Raw genomic sequence first — 23,522 nt, 5'->3', positions numbered from 1 at the left:
GATTGCTGGTTTCAGGCAGTGCTGACCTAAAAATTTAATGGTGGGAACAAAGGTAAAGCTTAAAACAGAGCTAATGGCATTTTTTTTTTTTACATCTTGGGGAGGTGAGTAGGATACAACTAAGAATAAATAAGATAAATGCAATATGATATGTTACTAAAAACAAATTCTCTAAAAAATTACATTTCATATACCATGTATATAAATATGAAATGTTTATGCTCCTTTAAAATTGTATTTAATTCTCACAATTATTTTTTAGATGAGAAGAAAGTGAATTATTAAGAATATATTAAAATTTATGGAAACTTTGAGGAATAAAAAGCAGATATTTATATTCTACTTTAAAAGTCACTTTCTTCCAGACGCTTTCCTTAGTTAATGCATTCCTAATCTTTCCCAATCTGATCAGCCTTTTATTTTAAAAGCTTTCAATAATTTTGCACTCTGAGCTGGTGAGCATGAAAGGGCTTTGTAAAAGCTAAAGTTCTATAAAGAAAGAATCTCTCTTTGCCTGTTGATATACTACTTAGTAAATGAGCTTGTAAATAACTCCAGGGCAAGATAAATGCTTTTACTTCTTATGTACCATAAAGAGTGCTCAGTGCCAAATTCTAAAGGGCATAGGATATTTTCAAACGCTTCAGCCAAAGGGTATGCAATGGGTAACAACTATGAAAATATAAAAGCAGAACAAAAGAATAGACAACTGGCATTACTTTAAATAATGTCACTAAGCCATTTACAGAGTAAAAAGCTGCCTGCTGTATTGTGCTATCTGGGCCAGTGAATCTAGGACATGCTGAATATGAAAAGAAAAGCACAGACAGAGGCCTCTAGAAGACATGCTGTTGCCTCCAGTGCCATCAGCAGAAAGGAGACAACAGAACTCACTTATTACAGAGCCACTTTGATTTAGGCACCAAGGGACTCATCATTGAAGCTACAAACCTCTCAGAAATTAAAGTCAATACTTGCAATTGCACTGAGAGCAAATTCAAGCAGCTCTGGAAAAAATATGCTTTATTATCATGGTCAACACATTTACTGCAACATCAAAATATCTGAATTTAGTCTTTTTTCCTTCCTTTTTTCTGTGTACAAAAATTAGATTTTTAAAATTCTGTGATTTATTAAATATTTTTCCCACAAAAATATACTTTTCAAACTGTGATTTGAAAGAGAATAAAGAATGATCCATGAGAAGACAGAATTATTAAGCATTATAGAAAGCCAAAGAACTGAAGTGAGAGTAAATTTTTACTTCAAAGGTAAATTTTTCCTACTATTTTCCTTGCTATTCACAACAATCTTCTCAATAAGTCTCCAAAACCTATGACAATTAGTATGTTTTCTTCTTTGATTAGCCGAAGATCACAGAATCCTACACTAGTTATAAATCTCTATAAATTTTATGTAATATTTTCTTAAAATGATTCTTCTGTTTTATTTTTCCTTTTTAAAAACAATTGAATAATAGGTTGAGTGTACTTCCCAAGGTAGAAACTATAAACAGGAACTAGTATTTTCAGCAGCAGGTTAAGTTACCTAAAGATGATTAACTTTGTTTTGGCTTTATTTTTCCTGTGGGTTTCTAATCAACCCTTTCCGGTAAGTTTCTAATCAATATCCTTTCCTTTAAAGAATCCTTCCTCATTAGAGTATTTACATCCATTTTCAGTTTCCATAATGCAGGTAGACAGGTCAAATATTCATTCTTACAATTTCAAATTCAGAGTGATAAAAATATTAATATATATGTTAATTTTTATATTTCCCAACTAATATACTTTTACATCATTACATCACTAGATATAGCAGTGTTTCAATGCAACTATATGCCTATTTATAAATGTAACTTTAGTTATTACAAATAAGTTTTAATCTCTTTCAGTTGAAACTTTCCTAAATGTAGTATAATTATTTACTATTTGATTACTTGTCAGAATCTTCATAGTTTCAAATTAAGAGAAAAATAAGTATGGTATTTCCATTTACAAAAACATCCTATGGCACTGACTTTGAATCTGGAACACAGAATGTTTTTTACCTCCTTGTAGACCTAGAACATAAAGTCTGTTAAGCTTCACTAAAACTATGACTAATCATTGGGTGTACCACATTTTTCGGTTGTAAGAAAATAATCTTTACAGTATAAATGATTTTGTAATGAGTATCACAATGTACTGCTTCAATATCAGAGGTTTGTTTCCCAAGTAAGAATTCACTAGCTTACTTGAAAAGCAGTTACAGTAGATCCTTTGTTCACAAGCCTCCTCTGGCCCTATGCCCAACAAAAGAAAGATTCCCAAAAAATCTGGGCATTTTTGCTTAAATACTTAAGTATTTTCATAAGGTTAATAAACCTTTTATAAATGATATAAAAGGATGTTGTAAATTAATATCTTTATCAATCATTATTATTTCTCATAAATGTACATTTTTATCTTTCAATAATTTTCTAATAAAATATTACTTTATTTGACATTTACTGTAATGGTAAAGTAGTTAAATCAGCACCAATTCTGGAGGTTCCACAAAGGGGAGAGGGCAGTAAAGGGAGTGAGTGCTGAAAAAAAGTACCTATCGGGTACAGTGTTTACTATTTGGGTGATGGGTACACTAGAAGCCCAAACCTCACCATTAGGCAATTTATCCATGTAACAAACCTGCAAATGTACCCTCTGAATCTATTAAAAAATCAAAATCTTAAAATGATAATTATTTATTCTTGCTTATAAAAGAGTTAATATTTAAAAGCAATAAGGTAGAATTAACTGGTTAAATCTATCGAGAGCAATGTTCAGGTGCTTTTGAAGTGATATATAAGCAAAGAAGAGAAAGAAAGGAAAAGGGAGGTTGCAAAGTAATAGACAAATCACTTCTACAGTCGTCCGACAGTAAACGTTGGGGATTGACTCCAGGATGACCACCATGTATACCAAAATCAAAGCTATCCCTCCGCATATGCAGGTTTCTATAATATTTCCCATGAATACTTTATTTTGGATTTGCATTTGTTTGACAAAAAAATTTGTGTATAAGCGGGCCTGCGAAGCTCAAACTGCATTGTTTAAGAGTCAACTGTACTTGTTACAACTTAAAAAACATGTTTTTATTTCCTAAGAATAACAAACCAAACATAGAAGAAAAATTTACCCACTAAGAAGAGCTTGCTTGTCACAATGTTAAATGAAATATTATACCATGATTTGATCAATTAATTACCATTTGAGCATTATGTTTTGACTAAGCAAACATCACATTCACCTATCTAACAGACGTTTATCAAGATTCTTCTGCATTAAATGCACTGTTGTGAAAGACCAGAAAAAACCTGTTGCGTGGTCATTACCCTTGATTTACTTCGGAGTTCATTTTGTGACATGAATTCTACAGATGTAAACAGCACCACATGAGAACTCCCTAAAAGTCTTATAGGACTTAAAAAAATTACTTTCGGTCCTGGTAGGAAGTTGATATTTGGGTAGGGCTTGAATGAAGAGAAAGATTTTGACAGACAAACTGACAGATTAAGAATTTTCTGGGTAGAGCACCTGTAGAGAGGTACAAAGAAAGAAGCTTTAAGTTGTGTTCTGTGAACCCCAGGAAGATAGGTCTGATGCATAGAAAGAAATGAAGTTACACATTTAAGAGATGGAACATAAATAAGAATCATTTGCTCATGTCAAATAAAAGTGGACATTTTTTACTATTTTTCTGTTACATACATCACATTGGTTTCACATGTGCACAATATCTGTGGCCTACACCATAAGTTAAATTATTAAAATAAGTTCATATCTATAAACTTTCTGTGATCTACTAAGAACAGTTTGGGGAAATCGAATAGACAGAATTCAGACTGCAGTGAGGGGGACTGAGTGGCCTCAGAAAGAAAGGGAATACAGAAAACTCTTCCAAAAGTTTCTTTCATTCCAGAAAACTTTTCTGTATGTGGTACAGGCTTTGTGCTACATACTGGGATACAATCACTGAAATCACAGACTTGGTCCTTGAGCCCCCAACTGGGAAAATTAGGGTTGAGTGACGTGCTTTTACTACTTTATGTAAACAGCTAAGCCAGGTATCAATTTTAGGGCAAAGTTGAAGATATAAAGAGTCTTATCTATGGGGGCATAAGTCTTCGTTCTGAGAATCACTGTGTCTAACAAGAGATATCAATAGACGTATGGTATAAATGTAAACATGACAGGTATATGGAAAAAAATAAAGTCATGGAAGTAGGGTAAATTAACTCCTGACTCTGAGAAGCAGAGAACAATGATAGAAATGATTATTGTTCACTAATACCTTCTTCTGCATTGCAGGCACTAAGTTGTTGGCCTACAGCAGACCTTAAGGAATGTTCTCCTTAAAGGACTAGACAGTAAATATTTATAACTTTGTGGATTAAGCGGTCTCTGACTTTGTAGCACACAAGTAGCCATAGACAACATGTAAATGAATGAAGATGGCTGTATTTCAATAAAACTATGTTTATTGACATAAAAATTTGATTTCTCAGAATTTTCACATATCACAAAATATTATTCTCATTTTTATTTTTTTAAACCATTTAAAAAACATAAAAATATTTATTCTCTCATGGGCCCTAAAAACCAGACTCTAAGCCAGACTTTGGTGACCTCTAACCTAATAGAGTGAAGGCTGAGTAACAGAGCAGAAGGGAGGGAACTGGCAAAAAGAAAACTTGGATTTCTGTCTGGCAGATTATGCCTAATTTGGGATGAACATACTTCTGGGAGTTCATAAACATCTTTCATGTTTGTTTACACAGTGGCGTATGTGAACAAGTGCAATTTACTGAGGCTAGGACTAACAGATTTCACCAGATCCTCAAAGGTGGACTTGACTTGAGGAACTTTGAGAAATACTGACTTAGAAGAACTCAAGCGTTAGATCTTAAGATTCTATTCTTGTATTCTATTAACTACATGTAATGAACAGATAAAAATATTAGCTGGATTAATCTAACTCTGACTGCTATTCATGAACGATGTCACTGATACCTTTTCTTTATCTACTTACCCTTGTATTTGGTTCCCCAGAATTATTAAAACTGCTAATTATTATTACTGATCCCTTGTCAGGTACTTTGCTAAATTGTTTAAAACATTTATTTAATCTCCACAACAGTCTTCTGAGGTAGGTACCATTTATGGTTCCATATTATAGTTGCGAAAATGGAGGGTCAAAAAGGACCTTTAACTTTTTGTTTTCTGCAGGAGCCTCTTCTAGATCCTCTTTACTTGTATTTTATACTTCTTTCCTAAGTAACTTCATTGATTTCAATTGCCAGTTCTATGTTGTTGATCCTCAAATTGCCTAAAACACATTTCCTATGATGGTCCCAAGCTCAACACTGCCAGAATTGGCAAATGTGGTCCTTTCCCAACAACCACCCTCTTAGTAAATGGTAACATCACGTAACCTTATCTCTAATATTCCTCTTCTCCCTATTGCCCAAATGCTCAGATACAAAAGACTGTTTATTCTAAGACATAATTCTAAGCTCCTTCCAGTTCCACCCTAGTACAAGCATCCCGTGATGGTGTACTAAGTGGTCTTAAATACACATTTTTTAAAGTGAAAAAAGGCAAGATTATAAAACAAAATTAAATATTATAAATCTATGCTTGTTTAAAAAATCTCTATCAAAAAGGTATCTCTCTGTGTGAACATACAGTTGGAACGGAATTATAGTAAAGTGGTTGAGAACATAAGCTCTACTTCAAGTTTTAAGAGTTGTGATACCTCAGACAAGTCATGGAACCTGTAAAATGCAAATAATAAGAGTATTTCATGGCTGTTTTTTGTGAATTGAAGGAATTAACACATGTAAAAAATTAAAACACTGGTTGGCATGTAATAATTGCTCACTAAATCACAACTATTATTGCTAATGGTTTTATCAATATTAATAATACAAATGCATAGAAAAATTATCCAATAATAAACTATCATTTTCACACTGACTTTGCAATTAGTGGTGATACCACAGGAGTTTTATATATCTTCTTTTTGCCTTTCTGTATTTAAAATGTGAAAATCAATCAACAAAAATCTCTATGAAAAAACACTCTGAATTAAATAAGGATGTATTAAAATTGGTCATCTTAAAAATAATCAGACACATTTCTTGTTACATCTTTAGCTGCCTGAAATGTTTTGTGACACCTATTTTGAAACTGATCTCATGCTTAACAATCATCTTAGTATAGTTAAAAATATCAACATGTGTAATTATTTTAGTGCTAAGTGTTGTGCTTTGAAGGCACTTAATAAATTTAGTTTCCTTCCCTCCTCCAAACCCTGAAATACAAATTAATTATAAAAATTAATTCCACTGAAATCAATAATTTTTTCTGCCAAGCCAACCTAAAAGTATATCTATATCTTAGCCAAACGTAAAATTTATATTTCAGAGCAAGGAAAAGAACAAACATAGACCAGCTGGAGTATGTTTGAAAATACTAATCCTTATTAGGGCATCTCTTTAGAAGATGAGTTACTTTAGCTGAATTGAATCTCTATTAACAGTAGTGAATTCCTAAGGCAGACAGCAACAGTAAATAAAAGAACCCATGCTTACATTCATTTGATGGTTTCGCCAACTTGAGAATCATTTCTGGTACCATGATTTTGTGTTCAGGAAACAAAGAACATGAAATATTACATTCTTCAGAATGTTTTTCTTGTGCCATTAAATGAATCAAGTAAATGAGGCAATAAGGCACAAATAAGGAATTTAGATTTCAGCAATATTTTGATCCACTGTAGCTTTCAGTTTCTGAAACTTTGGAAGGGCCTACATACTTTGTAAGAATTTTTGGCTTATATTGTTAATAATCAACAGAGCCAAGAAAACATTTCTTAGAATGTTCAAAGACACCACCTTAGCCTTCCTTCCCTGCAGCTATAACATTATTTTTCTAAGAGAAAAGGCAGAGAGTCTTCACAAAGCCATACCAGACTTAAAATTACCAGAGAACATTTTGGTAAACTGTATTGGTTAGAAGGAGAAAAATAAGTCCTAGGGCAAATGTCATCCATTTTCCCAAGGTAAATAAAGTAGGCTCTCCAGGAAGGTGCTCATTTGATTTATTTCATGACTTGCATTACCTGTGTGACTTTTGGGTAATAAAACTGGAAAAAATTAACAGAAGGAGATTTAATATTTTTCACATTTGTTGGCATAATTATTGTCTAAGGACCATAAGAATTTTAAAATAATACCTTGAACTCATTGTAAATTAGCTTATTCAAGCACTATCCCTTTAGATGTGAGTTACAGTTATATCAGTGTATATTATTCATTTCTTGACAGTAGAACAAGGAAAATTTTGATAGTTTCTATATATGATTTCATCTTGAGAAGTTAGTGATACACCTTGGAAATTCATAAACACTTATTAACCCATTTTGAAATCTAACATCTATAAATCTACCTAAAACACCTTAGAATACTTATATTATTGCCTGTATAATCTTGTAGAATAGTGAACTCCATATGGTTTTGAACTCCACTATGGACCTCCTGAAGTCTTTCATTCCCTTGATTATAATGAAAGAATTATTTAATTTCCTAGAAATAAATTGCCAAAGCAAAAAAAATAAAAAGCCATTTAGAGCCATATTAAGAAAAAGAATGAGCCAGGTGTGGTGACTCATGCCAGTAATCCCAGGACTTTGGGAGGCTGAGGCAGGAAGATCATTTGAGGCCAGGAGTTCAAGACCACACACACAAAAAAAAAAAAAAAAAAAAAAAAGAAGAAGAAGAAGAAAGAAAAGAAAGGAGTAAGATTTTCTTATTTCCTTGAGAAGACACAATATTAATAGATAAGAATGAAAGAGCAGAGCTTCAATTTTCTCCAATAATAATAATAATAATATGCATGCTAAAAAGAGTCAAACTAAACAGTAAATAGCAGCCCAAGACAGGTGAATCATTAAATGGGCTTAAGAATCTAGACTTAACCAGATATTTTCTCTAAGTCTTAAAGAATGTGGCAATATATTCTCAAAGAATCTTATGGTCATTTCAGACACCTTGGCAAGGACACTGGAGATGCACAAAGGCAGGGGATGACAATCTTGAAAGACAAAAGAATAGCTAATGTGAACCAGATACCTGCAAGGGAGGCCTTGATCCCTGATAAATGTTTTTTTAAAGTTACTTTCCACATGACTTGCATTATCCAAACTTAGCTGGATAAGTGCTGCTCAGCAGGATTTTATTCATACCAATTAATTTCTTACAACATTGCTCACCCTATATCCTCACTCTCTCCATTTGTTAATACCTCATTTGCACTGAGAAGATCAAGCAGCCTCTGACTCAAGCTCCTTCAGCTTTCAATATCCCCATTGCAATATTCCTTTGTATTTCAGCCATTTCCTCTTTTCTGTCATACTCAAGGAAAAAAATCAACCTTCTCTGTCTCCAAGAATAAACTTGTGTTCTTGAATTATCGCCTCTGTTCTCTGGAACTCTGCACAATTAAAATTATTCGTATCATCTTTCAGTCTCTCCATCTAGAGGTGTTATATCCACTCTTCACCTGGAAAAATGATCAGATTCCTTTGTTCTGAAACATGCATGCCCACACACACACACACACACACACACACACACCCATCTTACTCTTACTACTCCCTCAATTACAGAGTCTGGTACAAGAAAAGTGCTAATAAATGTTGGTAGAATCAAAGAAAAAAGGACTGCTACATTTGATCTCTTTCCTTCCTAATGCTAAGCTCCCTGAAGAAAAGTTCATAAGAGTTACCTCCATTTATCCATCTTGCCAGCCCCAGCACCATGCATGTGAACAGATTTTAGGGATGGTGAAGGCAGCCTCACTCTAACCCATTGTAGACCTTTTAGCCCTATCCCCTTGGGCTCCCACCCAGAGTACATCCTGTTCTAGCCTTTCCCACCCATGACAAGAACTGCGTGCTAAATCTAATTGTGGAGGGGAATTAAGATAGAGATGAATGAGATGGTCAGAGAGAAGGAGCTGAAATGAATGACAAAATGGAGAGTGGAGTGGGCAGCAAGTTGACAGTGAAGTCAGAGAGCTCTATTTAGGAATTCAGAAAAACAAACTGTTCAAATAATTGGGGACAACATATAGAGTTAGAGGGTCTTAAACAGGGTCTTGAAGGAAAGGATCTGCACAGGGGAGAAATAAACTTTGATAGTGGAAAAATATTGGAAAGGTACAGAATACCTATTACTAAAGAAGCATACAAGTGATTTTTAACACATTCATAGCACATCATAATTGACAACTGTTTGAAAATTGTGAAAGAGTCCTGCAATATTTTCCATAATTAGAATATAAACATCAACATCTTGTCAGTATTTGGAGAAAAGATATTATGCTAACAAAGTATTCTCAGCTGTTAATGATATAATAAATAATTTTACTAAATGGTTAGAACAAATCATCTACCAATTCTGTATGTGCCCTCATCCTAGGGACTTAGATCCTTGACCAATTTGTCTCCCCACTACCTTTGATAACATACATAAATAGAACTAGATTTTATTATTTCGGGCATTTTACTTTATGTTTTTTCACTTTGTTGCTTGGTTCATGTGTATTTCAGGTGTGAATGATTTCCTTCCAGTGTAAATGATACTTCTATTTTTGAAACACCCACTGTGCCTGGGATAGTACTGCAGATACAGTTACCCAATAGTACAAGTTAAAGTAAATTGAGTAATTTCTAGTTTATAAAGCTGATATTTTACATTTATAGATGTCTTCTTCATAAAATTTAAAAGTTCTATTAGAAATCATAGTCTCAGTTGTACGGAGCTTATTTGATTTGAGATCTGTCCTGAGATGAGGTAACCACTGGAATTAGAGAAGTATTTCATATAGTTTTAGATTCCACACAGATTTCTTTCTCATATCCCAGGAAACTAAGCACCATTTTCAACATTTAATCAATGGCCAGGGCAATCAGGCAGGAGAAGGGAATAAAGGGCATTCAGTTAGGAAAAGAGGAAGTCAAATTGTCCCTGTTTGCAGATGACATGATTGTATACCTAGAAAACCCCGTCGTCTCAGCCCAAAATCTCCTTAAGCTGTAAACAACTTCAGCAAAGTCTCAGGATACAAAATCAATGTGCAAAAACCACAAGAATTCTTATACACCAATAACAGACAAACAGAGAGCCAAATCATGAGTGAACTCCCATTCACAATTGCTTCAAAGAGAATAAAATACCTAGGAATCCAACTTACAAGGGATGTGAAGGACCTCTTCAAGGAGAACTACAAACCACTGCTCAACGAAATAAAAGAGGATACAAACAAATGGAAGAACATTCCATGCTCATGGATAGGAAGAATCAATATCGTGAAAATGGCCATACTGCCCAAGGTAATTTATACATTCAATGCCATCCCCATCAAGCTACCAACGACTTTCTTCACAGAATTGGAAAAAACTACTTTAAAGTTCATATGGAACCAAAAAAGAGCCCGCATTGCCAAGTCAACCCTAAGCCAAAAGAACAAAGCTGGAGGCATCATGCTACCTGACTTCAAACTATACTACAAGGCTACAAAAACGAAAATAGCATGGTACTGGTACCAAAACAGAGATATAGACCAATGGAACAGAACAGAGCCCTCGCATAATGCCGCATATCTACAACTATCTGATCTTTGACAAACCTGACAAAAACAAGAAATGGGGAAAGGATTCCCTATTTAATAAATGGTGCTGGGAAAACTGGCTAGCCATATGTAGAAAGCTGAAACTGGATCCCTTCCTTATACCTTATATAAAAATTAATTCAAGATGGATTAAAGACTTAAATGTTAGACCTAAAACCATAAAAACCCTAGAAGAAAACCTAGGCAATACCATTCAGGACATAGGCATGGGCAAGGACTTCATGTCTAAAACACCAAAAGCAATGGCAACAAAAGCCAAAATTGACAAATGGGATCTAATTAAACTAAAGAGCTTCTGCACAGCAAAAGAAACTACCATCAGAGTGAACAGGCAACCTACAGAATGGGAGAAAATTTTGCAACCTACTCATCTGACAAAGGGCTAATATCCAGAATCTACAATGAACTCAAACAAATTTACAAGAAAAAAACAAACAACCCCATCAACAAGTGGGCGAAGGATATGAACAGACACTTCTCAAAAGAAGACATTTATGCAGCCAAAAACCACATGAAAAAATGCTCATCATCACTGGCCATCAGAGAAATGCAAATCAAAACCACAATCAGATACCATCTCAAACCAGTTAGAATGGTGATCATTAAAAAGTCAGGAAACAACAGGTGCTGGAGAGGATGTGGAGAAATAGGAACACTTTTACACTGTTGGTGGGACTGTAAACTAGTTCAACCATTGTGGAAGTCAGTGTGGCAATTCCTCAGGGATCTAGAACTAGAAATACCATTTGACCCAGCCATCCCATTACTGGGTATATACCCAAAGGACTATAAATCATGCTGCTATAAAGACACATGCACACGTACGTTTATTGCGGCACTATTCACAATAGCAAAGACTTGGAACCAACCCAAATGTCCAACAATGATAGACTGGATGAAGAAAATGTGGCACATATACACCATGGAATACTATGCAGCCATAAAAAATGATGAGTTCATGTCCTTTGTAGGGACATGGATGAAGCTGGAAAGCATCATTCTCAGCAAACTATTGCAAGGACAAAAAAACCAAACACTGCATGTTCTCACTCACAGCTGGGAATTGAACAATGAGAACACATGGACAAAGGAAGGGGAACATCACACACTGGGGACTGTTGTGGGGTGGGGGGATAGGGGAGGGATAGCATTAGGAGATATACCTAATGCTAAATGACGAGTTAATGGGTGCAGCACACCAACATGGCACATGTATACATATGTAACAAACCTGCACGTTGTGCACATGTGCCCTAAAACTTAAAGTATAATTTTAAAAAAAGATATAAATAATTCAGAAAATGAAAAAAAAGTACTCTTCCCTCAGTTGTGCAAAGTCCTTCCTTGTGTACTTATCCTGATTTATTTGTGTTTTTATGCTCAGGCTTTACCTCTTCAAGAAAGCCTCTTGGAATGATTCTCGTCCTTTCCTGTGCTTCCGTTCTACCACTCTGACACTTGTATTTAATATAATTGTCTTTTCTGAGCTGAAATATTTATATGTGATTTGCTCTATGATACTGTGATATCCTTGAGAGCAGGAACAGTATGCCATTCATCCCTTCATCCCTAGCTCTTATCCCAGTGCCTTGGCATGATGCCTAGCATGTACTAACCACATAGATGTTCAATAAATGCTTGAACTTATTTCAAAATCTCAAATGTGCTTGCACTCACTTTCTCTCTCTCTCTCTCTCTCTCTCTCTCTCTCTCTCTCTTCACAAGTTGGTTAAAAGCATGGGTTTGGCACCAGGTAGCCTGGGTTTAAATTCAGGCCCAATCAGTTATGAGACCTTGGGCAAATTACCCAATCCCTCTAAGTCTCAGTGTCTTCAACTTTAAAATGGGAATAGTATGTCTTGTGTGTTTTGGCTGCATAAATGTCTTATTTTGAGAAGTGTCTGTTCATATCCTTCGCCCACTTTTTGATGGGGTTGTTTTTTTCTTGTAAATTTGTTTAAGTTCATTGTAGATGCTGGATATTAGCCCTTTGTCAGATGAGTAGGTGGCAAAAATTTTCTCCCATTCTGTAGGTTGCCTGTTCACTCTGATGGTGGTTTCTTTTGCTGTGCAGAAGCTCTTCAGTTTAATTAGATCCCATTTGTCAATTTTGGCTTTTGTTGCCATTGCTTTTGGTGTTTTAGACATGAAGTCCTTGCCCATGCCTATGTCCTGAATGGCATTGCCTAGGTTTTCTTAAGACACATGAAAAAATGCTCACCATCACTGGCCATCAGAGAAATGCAAATCAAAACCACAGTCAGATACCATCTTACACCAGTTAAAATGGTGATCATTAAAAAGTCAGGAAACAACAGGTGCTGGAGAGGATGTGGAGAAATAGGAACACTTTTACACTGTTGGTGGGACTGTAAACTAGTTCAACCATTGTGGAAGTCAGTGTGGCGATTCCTCAGGGATCTAGAACTAGAAATACCATTTGACCCAGCCATCCCATTACTGGGTATATACCCAAAGGACTATAAATCATGCTGCTATAAAGACACATACACACGTATGTTTATTGCGGCACTATTCACAATAGCAAAGACTTGGAACCAACCTAAATGTCCAACAATGATAGATTGGATTAAGGAAATGTGGCACATATACACCATGGAATACTATGCAGCCATAAAAAACGATGAGTTCTTATCCTTTGTATGGACATGGATGAAGCTGGAAACCATCATTCTCAGCAAACTATCACAAGGACAAAAAACCAAACACTGCATGTTCTCACTCATAGGTGGGAATTGAACAATGAGAACACGTGGACAAAGGAAGGGGAACATCACACACCAGGGCCTGTTGTGGGGTGGGGGGAGGGGGGAGGGATAGCATTAGGAGATATACCTAATGCTAAATGACGAGTTAATGGGTGCAGCACACCAACATGGCACATGTATACATATGTAACAAACCTGCACATTGTGCACATGTACCCTAAAACTTAAAGTATAATTTAAAAAATAAATAAAATGAAATAAAAAAGAAAAAAATGGGAATAATAACATTTCATAAGTTTCTTGTGACCAATGAAGGAGTGAAATTGTATACACTCACACAAACATAACTTAAGAGAGCATGGAAAAAGCTCTAGAAATGTAGACATATTACTTTTATCCACTTAGAAACATGAATACTTATCATTCTTATGATACTGATTAGTATAATTTCAAAAGTGTATTTAGAAATGACTTTGCACAGATTTGTAGAACCTTCCCAATAATGCCTTCATTTTCAAGTGAGGAGAAGATATAGGATATTATATGGAATATTATACAGTTAGTATTGAGTGAGGGGAGACAATTCCTTACATTACACAGGCTGGGCCACTAAAATCAACAGAGATTAAAAACTTTACATTTTAAAACCCAACCTGCAGTTTACCTGGAGGTTCATTCAATTCCAAAATATTTCTGGCTTGGGGACATTTTCTTAAAATTTACCATTCTTTACTACGTCATACCCTTTCTATCTATATTGAAAGTAAGGGCTGAAAATTAAGAGAATCCGAAGTTATTTTAAGAGAGAAATCTAAGAGGGGCTTTCTTATGGGAGATTAAAATTAAGTAATATTTCATAGGGGAAGAGGAATCCAGAAATACAGATCTCATGGTCAATGCAGAATCTGAAGCAATAAAAGCTAACATTTCTTAGAATAATTCTGAATTTTGTTAAATCTCTGTAGGAGAGATGAAAGATAATTAAATGAATGGGAAAAATCACTAGGGGAAGTCCTAAGAAAGAGAAATATCAGGCTATGCACTAAAACAAAGAGGAGTGATAATTGAGGGTTATCAACATTTGTCACTTGCTTTAGAAAGATCAAGAAGATTGAAATCTAAGGATAGGCTATCAAATGAAAGGTAAAATTATTATGTAGAAAGAGAAGCATAAAATTTTACACATAGAAAGTTCACAGGAGGACATCCCATTCAACCCATCATTATATAAGAAAACTGAGTTGTAGAGAGAAGTCAAAGTTCATTCGTTGAGTCACTTTGGAACAGAACTACATATTTTGGTATCTTGGCTTCATAATCCCATTTCCTTTTTCCACCTGTACACTGGAATCCAGTCTCTGAAAAGAGGATATTCCATGAAGTTATTAACAATACATCTTCTGGGAAGGAAGATGTTATTTGAAGTCAACATCTGACCATAACTGAGATAAAACATAAATGAAAAAAGCAAAGAGGCTAAGTGTTTTGATGACCATAATTTGAACCCATTACTTATTAATACAAAGATGAGCCACAAGTATAGTTTTTATGCAAAATTACTGCTGTGTTTTATAAGAAAACTATGCTCAAGTAATGAATGATAGGGTACTAACTAGCTAGAGGGGAAAAGAGGGTAAAGAGGGAGAAGAGAGAGAAAAAGACAGACTGGAAAGTTGAGGGAAGAAGTAAAACCAACTTGTAAACTTACAATCTCTCACATAGGAAACACTGGTTTCCTTCAAGGACATCAAATAACGTTTCCATTTCATTTAAGTATTTTGAAGTCTGGTGGTCAAAACCTTCTCCACCACCTCATGCTGTAAAGAATTACTTCAATACCAATAAAATCTATCCATCTGACAAAGGGCTAATAACCAGAATCTAGAAAGAACTTAAACAAATTTACAAGAGAAGAACAACCCCATCATAAAATGGGCAAAGAATATGAACAAACACTTCTCAAGAGAAGACATTTAATGTGGCCAACAAACGTATGAAAAAAAAGCTCATCATCACTGGTCATTAGAGAAATGCAAATCAAAACCACAATGAGATACCATCTCACACCATTTAGAATGGCAATCATTATAAAGTCAGGAAACAACAGATGCTTGAGAGGATGTGGAGAAATGGGAACACTTTTACACTGTTGGTGGGAATGTAAATTAGTTCAACCATTGTGGAAGACAGTGTGGCGATTCCTCAAGCATCTAGAACCAGAAATACCATTTGACCCAGCAATCCCATTACTGGGTATATATCCAAAGGATTATAAATCATTCTACTATAAAGACACATGCACATGTATGTTTATTCCAACACCGTTCACAATAGCAAAGACTTGGAACCAACCCAAATGCCCATCAATGAGACTAGGTAAAGAAAATGTGGCACACATACACAATGGAATACTATGCAGCCATAAAAAAGGATGAAGCCCTTTGCAGGGACATGGATGAAGCTGGAAACCACCATTCTCAGCAAACTAACACAAGAACAGAAAACCAAACACTAAATGTTCTCACTTATAGGTGGGAGTTAAACAATGAGAACACATGGACACAGGGAAGGGAACATCACACACCGGGGCCTGTCAGCAGGTGGGGGCCTAGGGGAGGGATAGCAGAAATATCTCCTAGGAGGCCTAGGAGAAATATCTAATGTAGGTGTGGGTTGATGGGTGCAGCAAACCATCACGGCACGTGTATACCTATGTAACAAACCTGCACTTTCTGCGCATGTATCCCAGAGCTTAAAGTGTAATTTAAAAAACAAACAAACAAAACACCAAAAACCAGGAAGCACCACCATAAAAAATTTAAACAAAAGAAACAACACAAATGAAAAATGCCTCTTATACTTACTGTAAAGGAACTTGACTCTAAAGAAGACAAATAATTCTCCTTCATAACAAATAGAACAGCTCATCTGATTGGAAGGGCAAAGATGCAGATCTATCACAGGGATGCTAGCTATTCTAAGTTCATTCTAATCCTGTAATTTTAAGACATGACTCAAATTTCCTACTTCTAATTTATTTGCCAATATATCCAGTAGAATGAATAATTTAAAATAGGTACTTTCCAGAATGCTGAGTGAGATATAAAAAGGATTTTGTGAAAGCTTTTTGGTATAAGTAAATTTTGTGATAAGGCTCTTGCTATTAAGGAACAGAAAATGGAACCAATGTTGGTTTTAAGAGAAAAAACAGTTGCTGGCTATTTAAATTGCTTCAATATTTCACTTACCTTTGATTTTACATAGTATTGAGCATAGTAATGAATAATCTAATCTGTCTGGCCAATTTTATATAATTTTAAGCAGTGTTTTGTTATATTTTACAATACAAAAATAGCCACTCTCCCTTTTGTATTTGCTTTTTAAATATATACCTTTAGGACATTAAGCTTTTAAATTTATAAGCAGCAGAAAATATCTGAAACACATATTTGTATTAAAACATTACTCCTTGCATAAAACCACTGACCCATTTTTCTAAAGTAAAAATCACTGCTGGGTTTTTACTTACATTGAAACTATAGCAAGTACAGTTCAATTATTATATTTATACAGTACCTTGAAGAGTATATGTCACGTTGCACAACTGACCTTCTTTTCTATAAAAAGTATAGATATAGCCAAAAATAAGTAATTGAATTATGGAACATTTTGAAAAAGAGAACCCTGTTGCTTTCGTTGCATGTAAATAAATTTGGATGTTTAATACTTCTTTGCATTTCCTTGCATATTTGCAAATATGACCTTAATTTTTTTAATTAAAAAATCTGTCCACTTTACAGATTTAAAAGTGATACCTTGTGAAGAGAGCTGTACAGAAAAAATAAACCCATAAATTTAGCAGATTTTCAGAGACAGAAAAATAAATTTTCTTTTCAAAGAAGAACCAAATATGCCACAATTCCATCACAAGCCATAGCATGAAGATCAAGTTTTTCTCTCCATAAAAGAATTGAGTTGTTTAGGTTGAATTCACATCACTCACCTGTTTGACTAAGCTGGGATGTGCTTCTACTCCTTCGAGACACTATGGCAACCACTTTGGCACTAAGGCTGGATCTCCGTTTCTTTCCACCTGCTCCAACTGTACCCACAGCTGTGTCTGACTGGCTGCCGTCATTATGCTCCAGTGTGTACATCTCTCCACTGACACTGGTGCTCTTCATGATGGATCTTCCTGAAGTCCCCATCCGTCTGCCTTGCATTTTGGGGGTAAATGAACTATATTTACAAAGTAAAAACATATATGCATCCATAAATTACAGGTCAGCATCACTGAAATTCTAAATCTAATTTATTTTGAAATAATCCAGACACATTTTTAGGGAGAAAATGCAGTTGAGTAGTGGATCTATACCTACAAATACTTTAGTATCACACCACCACCTGCAAAGTATTTATTACTAGACATGGCTTAAAACAATGCCATTTCAACATGGAATAATTTAGAATCTTTTTAAAGATTGTAAAAATAAGTGCAACAAATGCCATGCATGGGGAGATGAATGTTACTGACCAATTTTGTAAACAGTATAGTTACTATGTTACCAGAGAAAAACTAAAATATTTCAATTATTAAGAAAAGTTCATATATATTCCAGAGAGAAAAATATTTTTAAAAACGTACACTCTTTAAATGTGCCACATAACAAGGCTTAAGAAATGAAAACAGTATTTGTTCTAATTTCCCTTTGGGATTCTAACTAACACATCTTGCTTAATGAGTCTAAGACTGCAAAGAAAGCAAAAACTAAAACTAAAACAACAACAACAAAATGCTTTTGGATTAAGTTTTCCCTCCTCCTTCCTTGTCCCCTCATGCTCCACTTCCTCCACACAAACTTCTTCATCTCATTTCCTTCTTTCAGTGCCTCACACTCGCATGATGTAGGCTGATTTCTTTTTATTTTTTTCTTTCCTATCAAAACTTGTCTATGTTACCAGCTTGTACCAGTTTACCTGAATAGATTCCTTCTCTCCCCAAAGAATATATTATTGTTAATTATTTTATGCAGCATAGAAAGTTAGCTGGGAAAAACTCCTTTCTACTAGCCAAAGTAAACTACGTCTGAGAGTTGAGGAGAGGTAGGGCAAGCAAGCAGGGAGCATGGATGTTAGGATTCTTTTTTTTTTTTTTTATACTTTAAGTTTTAGGGTACATGTGCACAATGTGCAGGTTAGTTACATATGTATACATGTGCCATGCTGGTGTGCTGCACCCATTAACTCATCATTTAGCATTAGGTATATCTCCTAATGCTATCCCTCCCCCCTCCCCCCACCCCACAACAGTCCCCAGAGTGTGATGTTCCCCTTCCTGTGTCCATGTGTTCTCATTGTTCAATTCCCATCTATGAGTGAGAACATGTGGTGTTTGGTTTTTTGTCCTTGCGATAGTTTACTGAGAATGATGTTAGGATTCTTACAACCTTTTAAATTACAATGCATATGCAGCTTTATTATCCATCTAGACCAGTACATTTCTGTCTAATAAAAACCTGGTTTGATACACCTAAAATGACCCTCTTAATTTTATGTTTCCTCAAAATATTTGCAAAAACTAATTATATGACCCTTATTACCATTTTGATCTTCTTCATTTTCTACTTCTTGTTTTGAACTACAAAATACACACTAGCTGATATAGCATCTTTAACAGTGAGGACATTTAATATGTGAGTCAGAAAAAATCCTAATATGATTATAAATTATAAAACAGAAAGTGTTGGGATTATGTAACAAGTTTGTTGTCATATATATAATGAGAGAGAAATTGGTATGAGGTGAGTTCATAAAGGTGGGAGAGCAAGATCAGCAAGGAGAGTTTATAAGCTACGGAAAAGAGGTAAGACTGGTCCTTAGGATCCTTCATGGATTGTGAATTGAAAATTGAGACCTCTACTTGATGAGGACAATTTGTAATTTTTAATACTTAGCTGCATTACTTGAACTTGTCCACATCAAAATTCTGATAATAATAAATGATTCTTATTCTTTCAACTTATTCCAGTCAGTTTTTCATTAACTCAAAATTTTAAGTCATTTGCAAATCTGATAATTTTGCTATGCATTTTATGTACATTTTTTGAGACACAAATGAGAGTATTATTATGTATGATCAATCCCAAACTGTTTCCTGTGGGATTTATATTCCCAACTCCAGGAGACTTTCTTTCCTGATAAGTATTATGGTCAATTTCTTCTGTGTCTTCACCAACATATTTGAATGCATTATCTAATACGCCACCCATCCTTAAGGCTACTCTATCTGCTTTTCTTTACTATTTTACTTGCAGAATTCTGCTGGAGAATCTACAGAAATGTCAGGATTTGGTCAATTTCATAGTTACAATGTCCATGCTCAATCGAATGCCTACAACAGAGAAAGCAGTGGTTTCTCATCTCTCATCAATTATTTTAGCCCACTCTCCACAATGGTTATTGAAAACTTCTCTTCTGATGATTTTCTAACCTTTAAAGGAAAGTATGAATTAATTAACATGTACCCTTTTTTCTTCCCATTATTTCCATAAAGATGGAATTCTATTACAGCTTGAAATTTCCATCTCTAATATCAGTCACAAAAAAACACCATTGTGAAATTCTGGGCAATGTTCTTTAGTTTATAAAGAAGTTTAAGAGTATAGGGAAATGTCTACTATCATATTTTATTATTAAAATTTAAGATGAACTGGGAAGATTCAAAAGTTTATTTCACGGGTATCCAATTTTAGCAGTGAAATATTCTACAATTTTGACAAATAAAAGTTCTGGAAAAAATAGAAAAATATGTATAACAAGTGTTATCATTGGGAGGGGGTTAAGTTATATGAAAAATGATTGGCTGAATAAAATATGAGTTTTTTTTTCTCAAAAAATATATGTCCAGATGCTTAAAAGCATTCTTTTATGAGGACCTGTGTAGCTTCCTAAACAGTCTATAATATTATAATATTCAATGAAAAACATTTAAGGTATTTTCATTTCTTCTAACTGAGGAGGCAGTTCATAGAATCTAATCAGTCAGATTAATCTAATCAATCTGAAGATTACAGCACAAATATGCTTTCTACTGCCCCATTTCTTACCTTTCATTTGTTCTGCTTCTGTTTCTTGAAAAATTATTCCTATCGCTTATACATATCTGAATCTTTTAAGACACATCTTAAGGTTTTCTGCTTTATAAAGCTACTCAGTCTCTCTAGCTTCATGACTGTTGTCTCCTGGTCCTTTGTTTTACATTTTGTACTGGTTATATTGGGATTCTGATATTTCATAACAGCATGCACTTTATGCACCACTAAAACTGCTACAGCCCCCTTCCCATTGCTGAATGAATAGATTTATGAGTAGGAAGTGAAAAAAAGTGATCAGTATAGAAATATACTGTGCTATAACCCATCTTTAAAAGTCAAACAAAATCCCTTTCCTTTTGATCCCCCCCTTCTTGTAGACTTTTTGCTGAAAAATCTCAAGTAGTTATTTATATATCCTCTCCTATTTTTTTCTGAAGTAATTTGAATCAGGCTTTGTCCCTAACATTTCACTAAAACTGTCTTTTATCAGTCGCTAATAACTCCACACAGCAAATCCTGTCACTTACCAGTCTTTATCCTTTTGACCTCTCAATATGTCATGCATTTGTCAAAGAATTTGATTCCCTTGTCTTGAAATACTTTATTCTAATGGATTTTCCAAACTTGTGCCTCACTGGCAGGACCTTGATCCTCTTTTATCACTAAATGTAGGAGCTCCTCAATGCCCAGCCCTTTGGCCTATATTCTTCTACATGAACTGAACTCCACAGATGTCTCACCTGGTTCCAAGCATTATGTAGTATCTATATGCTGCAGATCCCAATTGTTTTCCTGCACCTTGTACTCAGCCCTGGACTCCAGATTTATATATCCAGCTGTCAACTGACGTATCTGCTTGGATATATCTAATAAGGCTCTCAAACATAAAGTGTTCAACCCTCAAAAAACCTGCTCCCTCTCCAATCTTCCATATCACATTATAGGCACCCATCTACCCAACTGCTCAGAGTAAGAACAAAATATCCAATCTTGGAAGTAAGACAAACCCAACCAACCAACCAAATTGGTTTTCTGGCCACTTTTCTTGAGCATTCCCTAACATGCTTGTGCATTGGCTAACAAGAGCACCTAAGGGTCATTTGACTCTCTACAGAAGTGTAAAATTTTGACTTAGTATTTACTCTTATAATTGTAGTCCAAACATTTTATATTCTTTGTAAAGTTAGATGTTAATTTGAAAAAAAAAAACTAATAAAGGGCATATGATTACTATCTGGCTCTAGAGTGGATAACTGGTAAGTCATAGTTTCATTGACTTAGAATACATTATCCAGTTTTGAATCTAACTTAGTAATCTAATTTTAGTATTCCATTTTCCCCAATAACTATATGTACATGTACAAAATTACAAGGGTTTCTTGGATCATCTTTGGAAACAGCTTGTTATACTGTCGGTTTTCTCACTAATTAATTAAAGCTCCAACATTTGCTATTTTTCTGGTGATTAGTGTTTTAATTTGGAGAATTATGTTCTGATAGTACTGGAAGTCCCACCAAAGACACTTAAATGAACTCCCTACTTAAGCCAATTAGCTGTGTTGTCCAAGCAGGGCATTTCATGGGCTCTATAAGCCCAAGGATGCCTTTTCCTGGCTTCTAGATTTAACCTCAAGAGGCAACAGCACAGTCTTCTTTCTGTTTTCTTTTTTTCTGACTCTGGTTTTCTATGCATGTTTTTGTTTTGTTTTGTTTTGTTTTGTTTCTTTCTGGTTCCAGTTCTTGGCAAGACTGACTCTGATTCTGCATTGCTTATGACTAATAATACTTTCCCAACTAGTGGCAGTAACAATAGGGAATCTACCTATGGGTGAAATCTGTCAGACGGCTGGCCAGCAGATTTCAGTGTCAGGAATACATTGAAAGCTGGGTGGCAGATGACAGAAAATCTAGTTTGGTAGAATTTTTGCAAGTATTTTTTTTTGAATGCTACTAAAAACTCACATCACTCAAGAAATATATTGTGCATACTGAAAGAAGAAAAACCCTTTAAAATATAGGCTTAGATTACTACGTTAATTTTAACCCTATAGCTGTGTGGTAACACTGAACCTGCTAGTTCTGTTTGCTAAAAAAAAATATTTTTAATTGGTGACAAAAACATTCTTACTTTGTGTATACCATAGGGATAGTTGTCCAAGTAGCAAATATTAGATCCCAAGGTATTTTGTTTTTATACTTTTGTTTTAAAAATAAGTTTTAATTTTTGATTTCATGGGTACATAGTAGCTATATATATTTATGGGGTACATAAGATTTTTTGGGGGGAGTTCTTTTTTTATTACACTTTAGGTTCTGAGATACATGTGCAGAACATGAAGGTTTGTTACATAGGTATATACGTGCCATGGTGGTTTGCTGCACCCATCAAACCCATCATCTACATTAGGTATTTCTCCTAATGCTATCCCTCCCATAGCCCCCTACCCCCTGACAGGCCTTGGTGTGTGATATTCCCCTCCCTGTGTTGTCATTGTTCAACTCCCACTTATGAGTGAGAACATGTGGTGTTTGATTTTCTGTTCCTGTGTTAGTTTGCTGAGAATGATGATTTCCAGCTTCATCCATGTCCCTGCAAAGGACATGAATTCACCCTTTTATGGCTGCATAGTATTCCATGGTGTATATGTGCCACATGTTCTTTATCCAGTCTATCACTGATTGGCATTTGGGTTGGTTCCAAGTCTTTGCTATTGTGAATATTGCTGTAATAAACATACTTGTGCATGTGTCTTTATAGTAGAATGGTATTTTACATTTAATAGAACTTCTGTTCTGATTGATCTGTACAGGTGAGTACTTACCTAATTCTAGCATAGAGAATTAAAGAATCCCAGAGAAGAAAGAAACTGAACTTCTAATACTTTAAAAATGCTACCATTTTAAGAAAATTCCCTTTTCAAAAAATTGCTAACTCAGTAGAATCAAAGTGAATTCTTGAAGATAGCAAAGTAGTTTGATAA

At 34.8% G+C, this 23,522-nt stretch overlaps 1 protein-coding gene across 88 annotated transcripts in view; it reads right to left on the bottom strand.

Moving 5' to 3' along the window:
• RIMS1 (regulating synaptic membrane exocytosis 1) overlaps window positions 1–23,522 on the bottom strand; it is a 516,596-nt gene that overhangs the window by 51,860 nt on the left and 441,214 nt on the right. For 55 of the 88 annotated variants that reach the window (NM_014989.7, XM_017010517.3, XM_047418419.1 and 52 more), the window contains one exon: window positions 17,451–17,686. The exons of 25 other annotated variants lie outside the window; for them this stretch is intronic. In NM_014989.7, the coding sequence (NP_055804.2) occupies window positions 17,451–17,686 (236 nt within the window). The remainder of the gene's footprint in view (window positions 1–17,450; window positions 17,687–23,522) is intronic. 8 more of the 88 variants (NM_001350416.2, XM_017010546.3, NM_001350418.2 and 5 more) reach the window with 1 other exon arrangement.

The sequence above is a fragment of the Homo sapiens genome, chromosome 6 (genome assembly GCF_000001405.40).
Source record: "Homo sapiens chromosome 6, GRCh38.p14 Primary Assembly".
Classification (NCBI taxonomy): domain Eukaryota; kingdom Metazoa; phylum Chordata; class Mammalia; order Primates; family Hominidae; genus Homo; species Homo sapiens.
The sequence above is the reverse complement of the archived record's forward strand: the minus strand, read 5'-3'. Positions and strand labels throughout refer to the sequence as shown.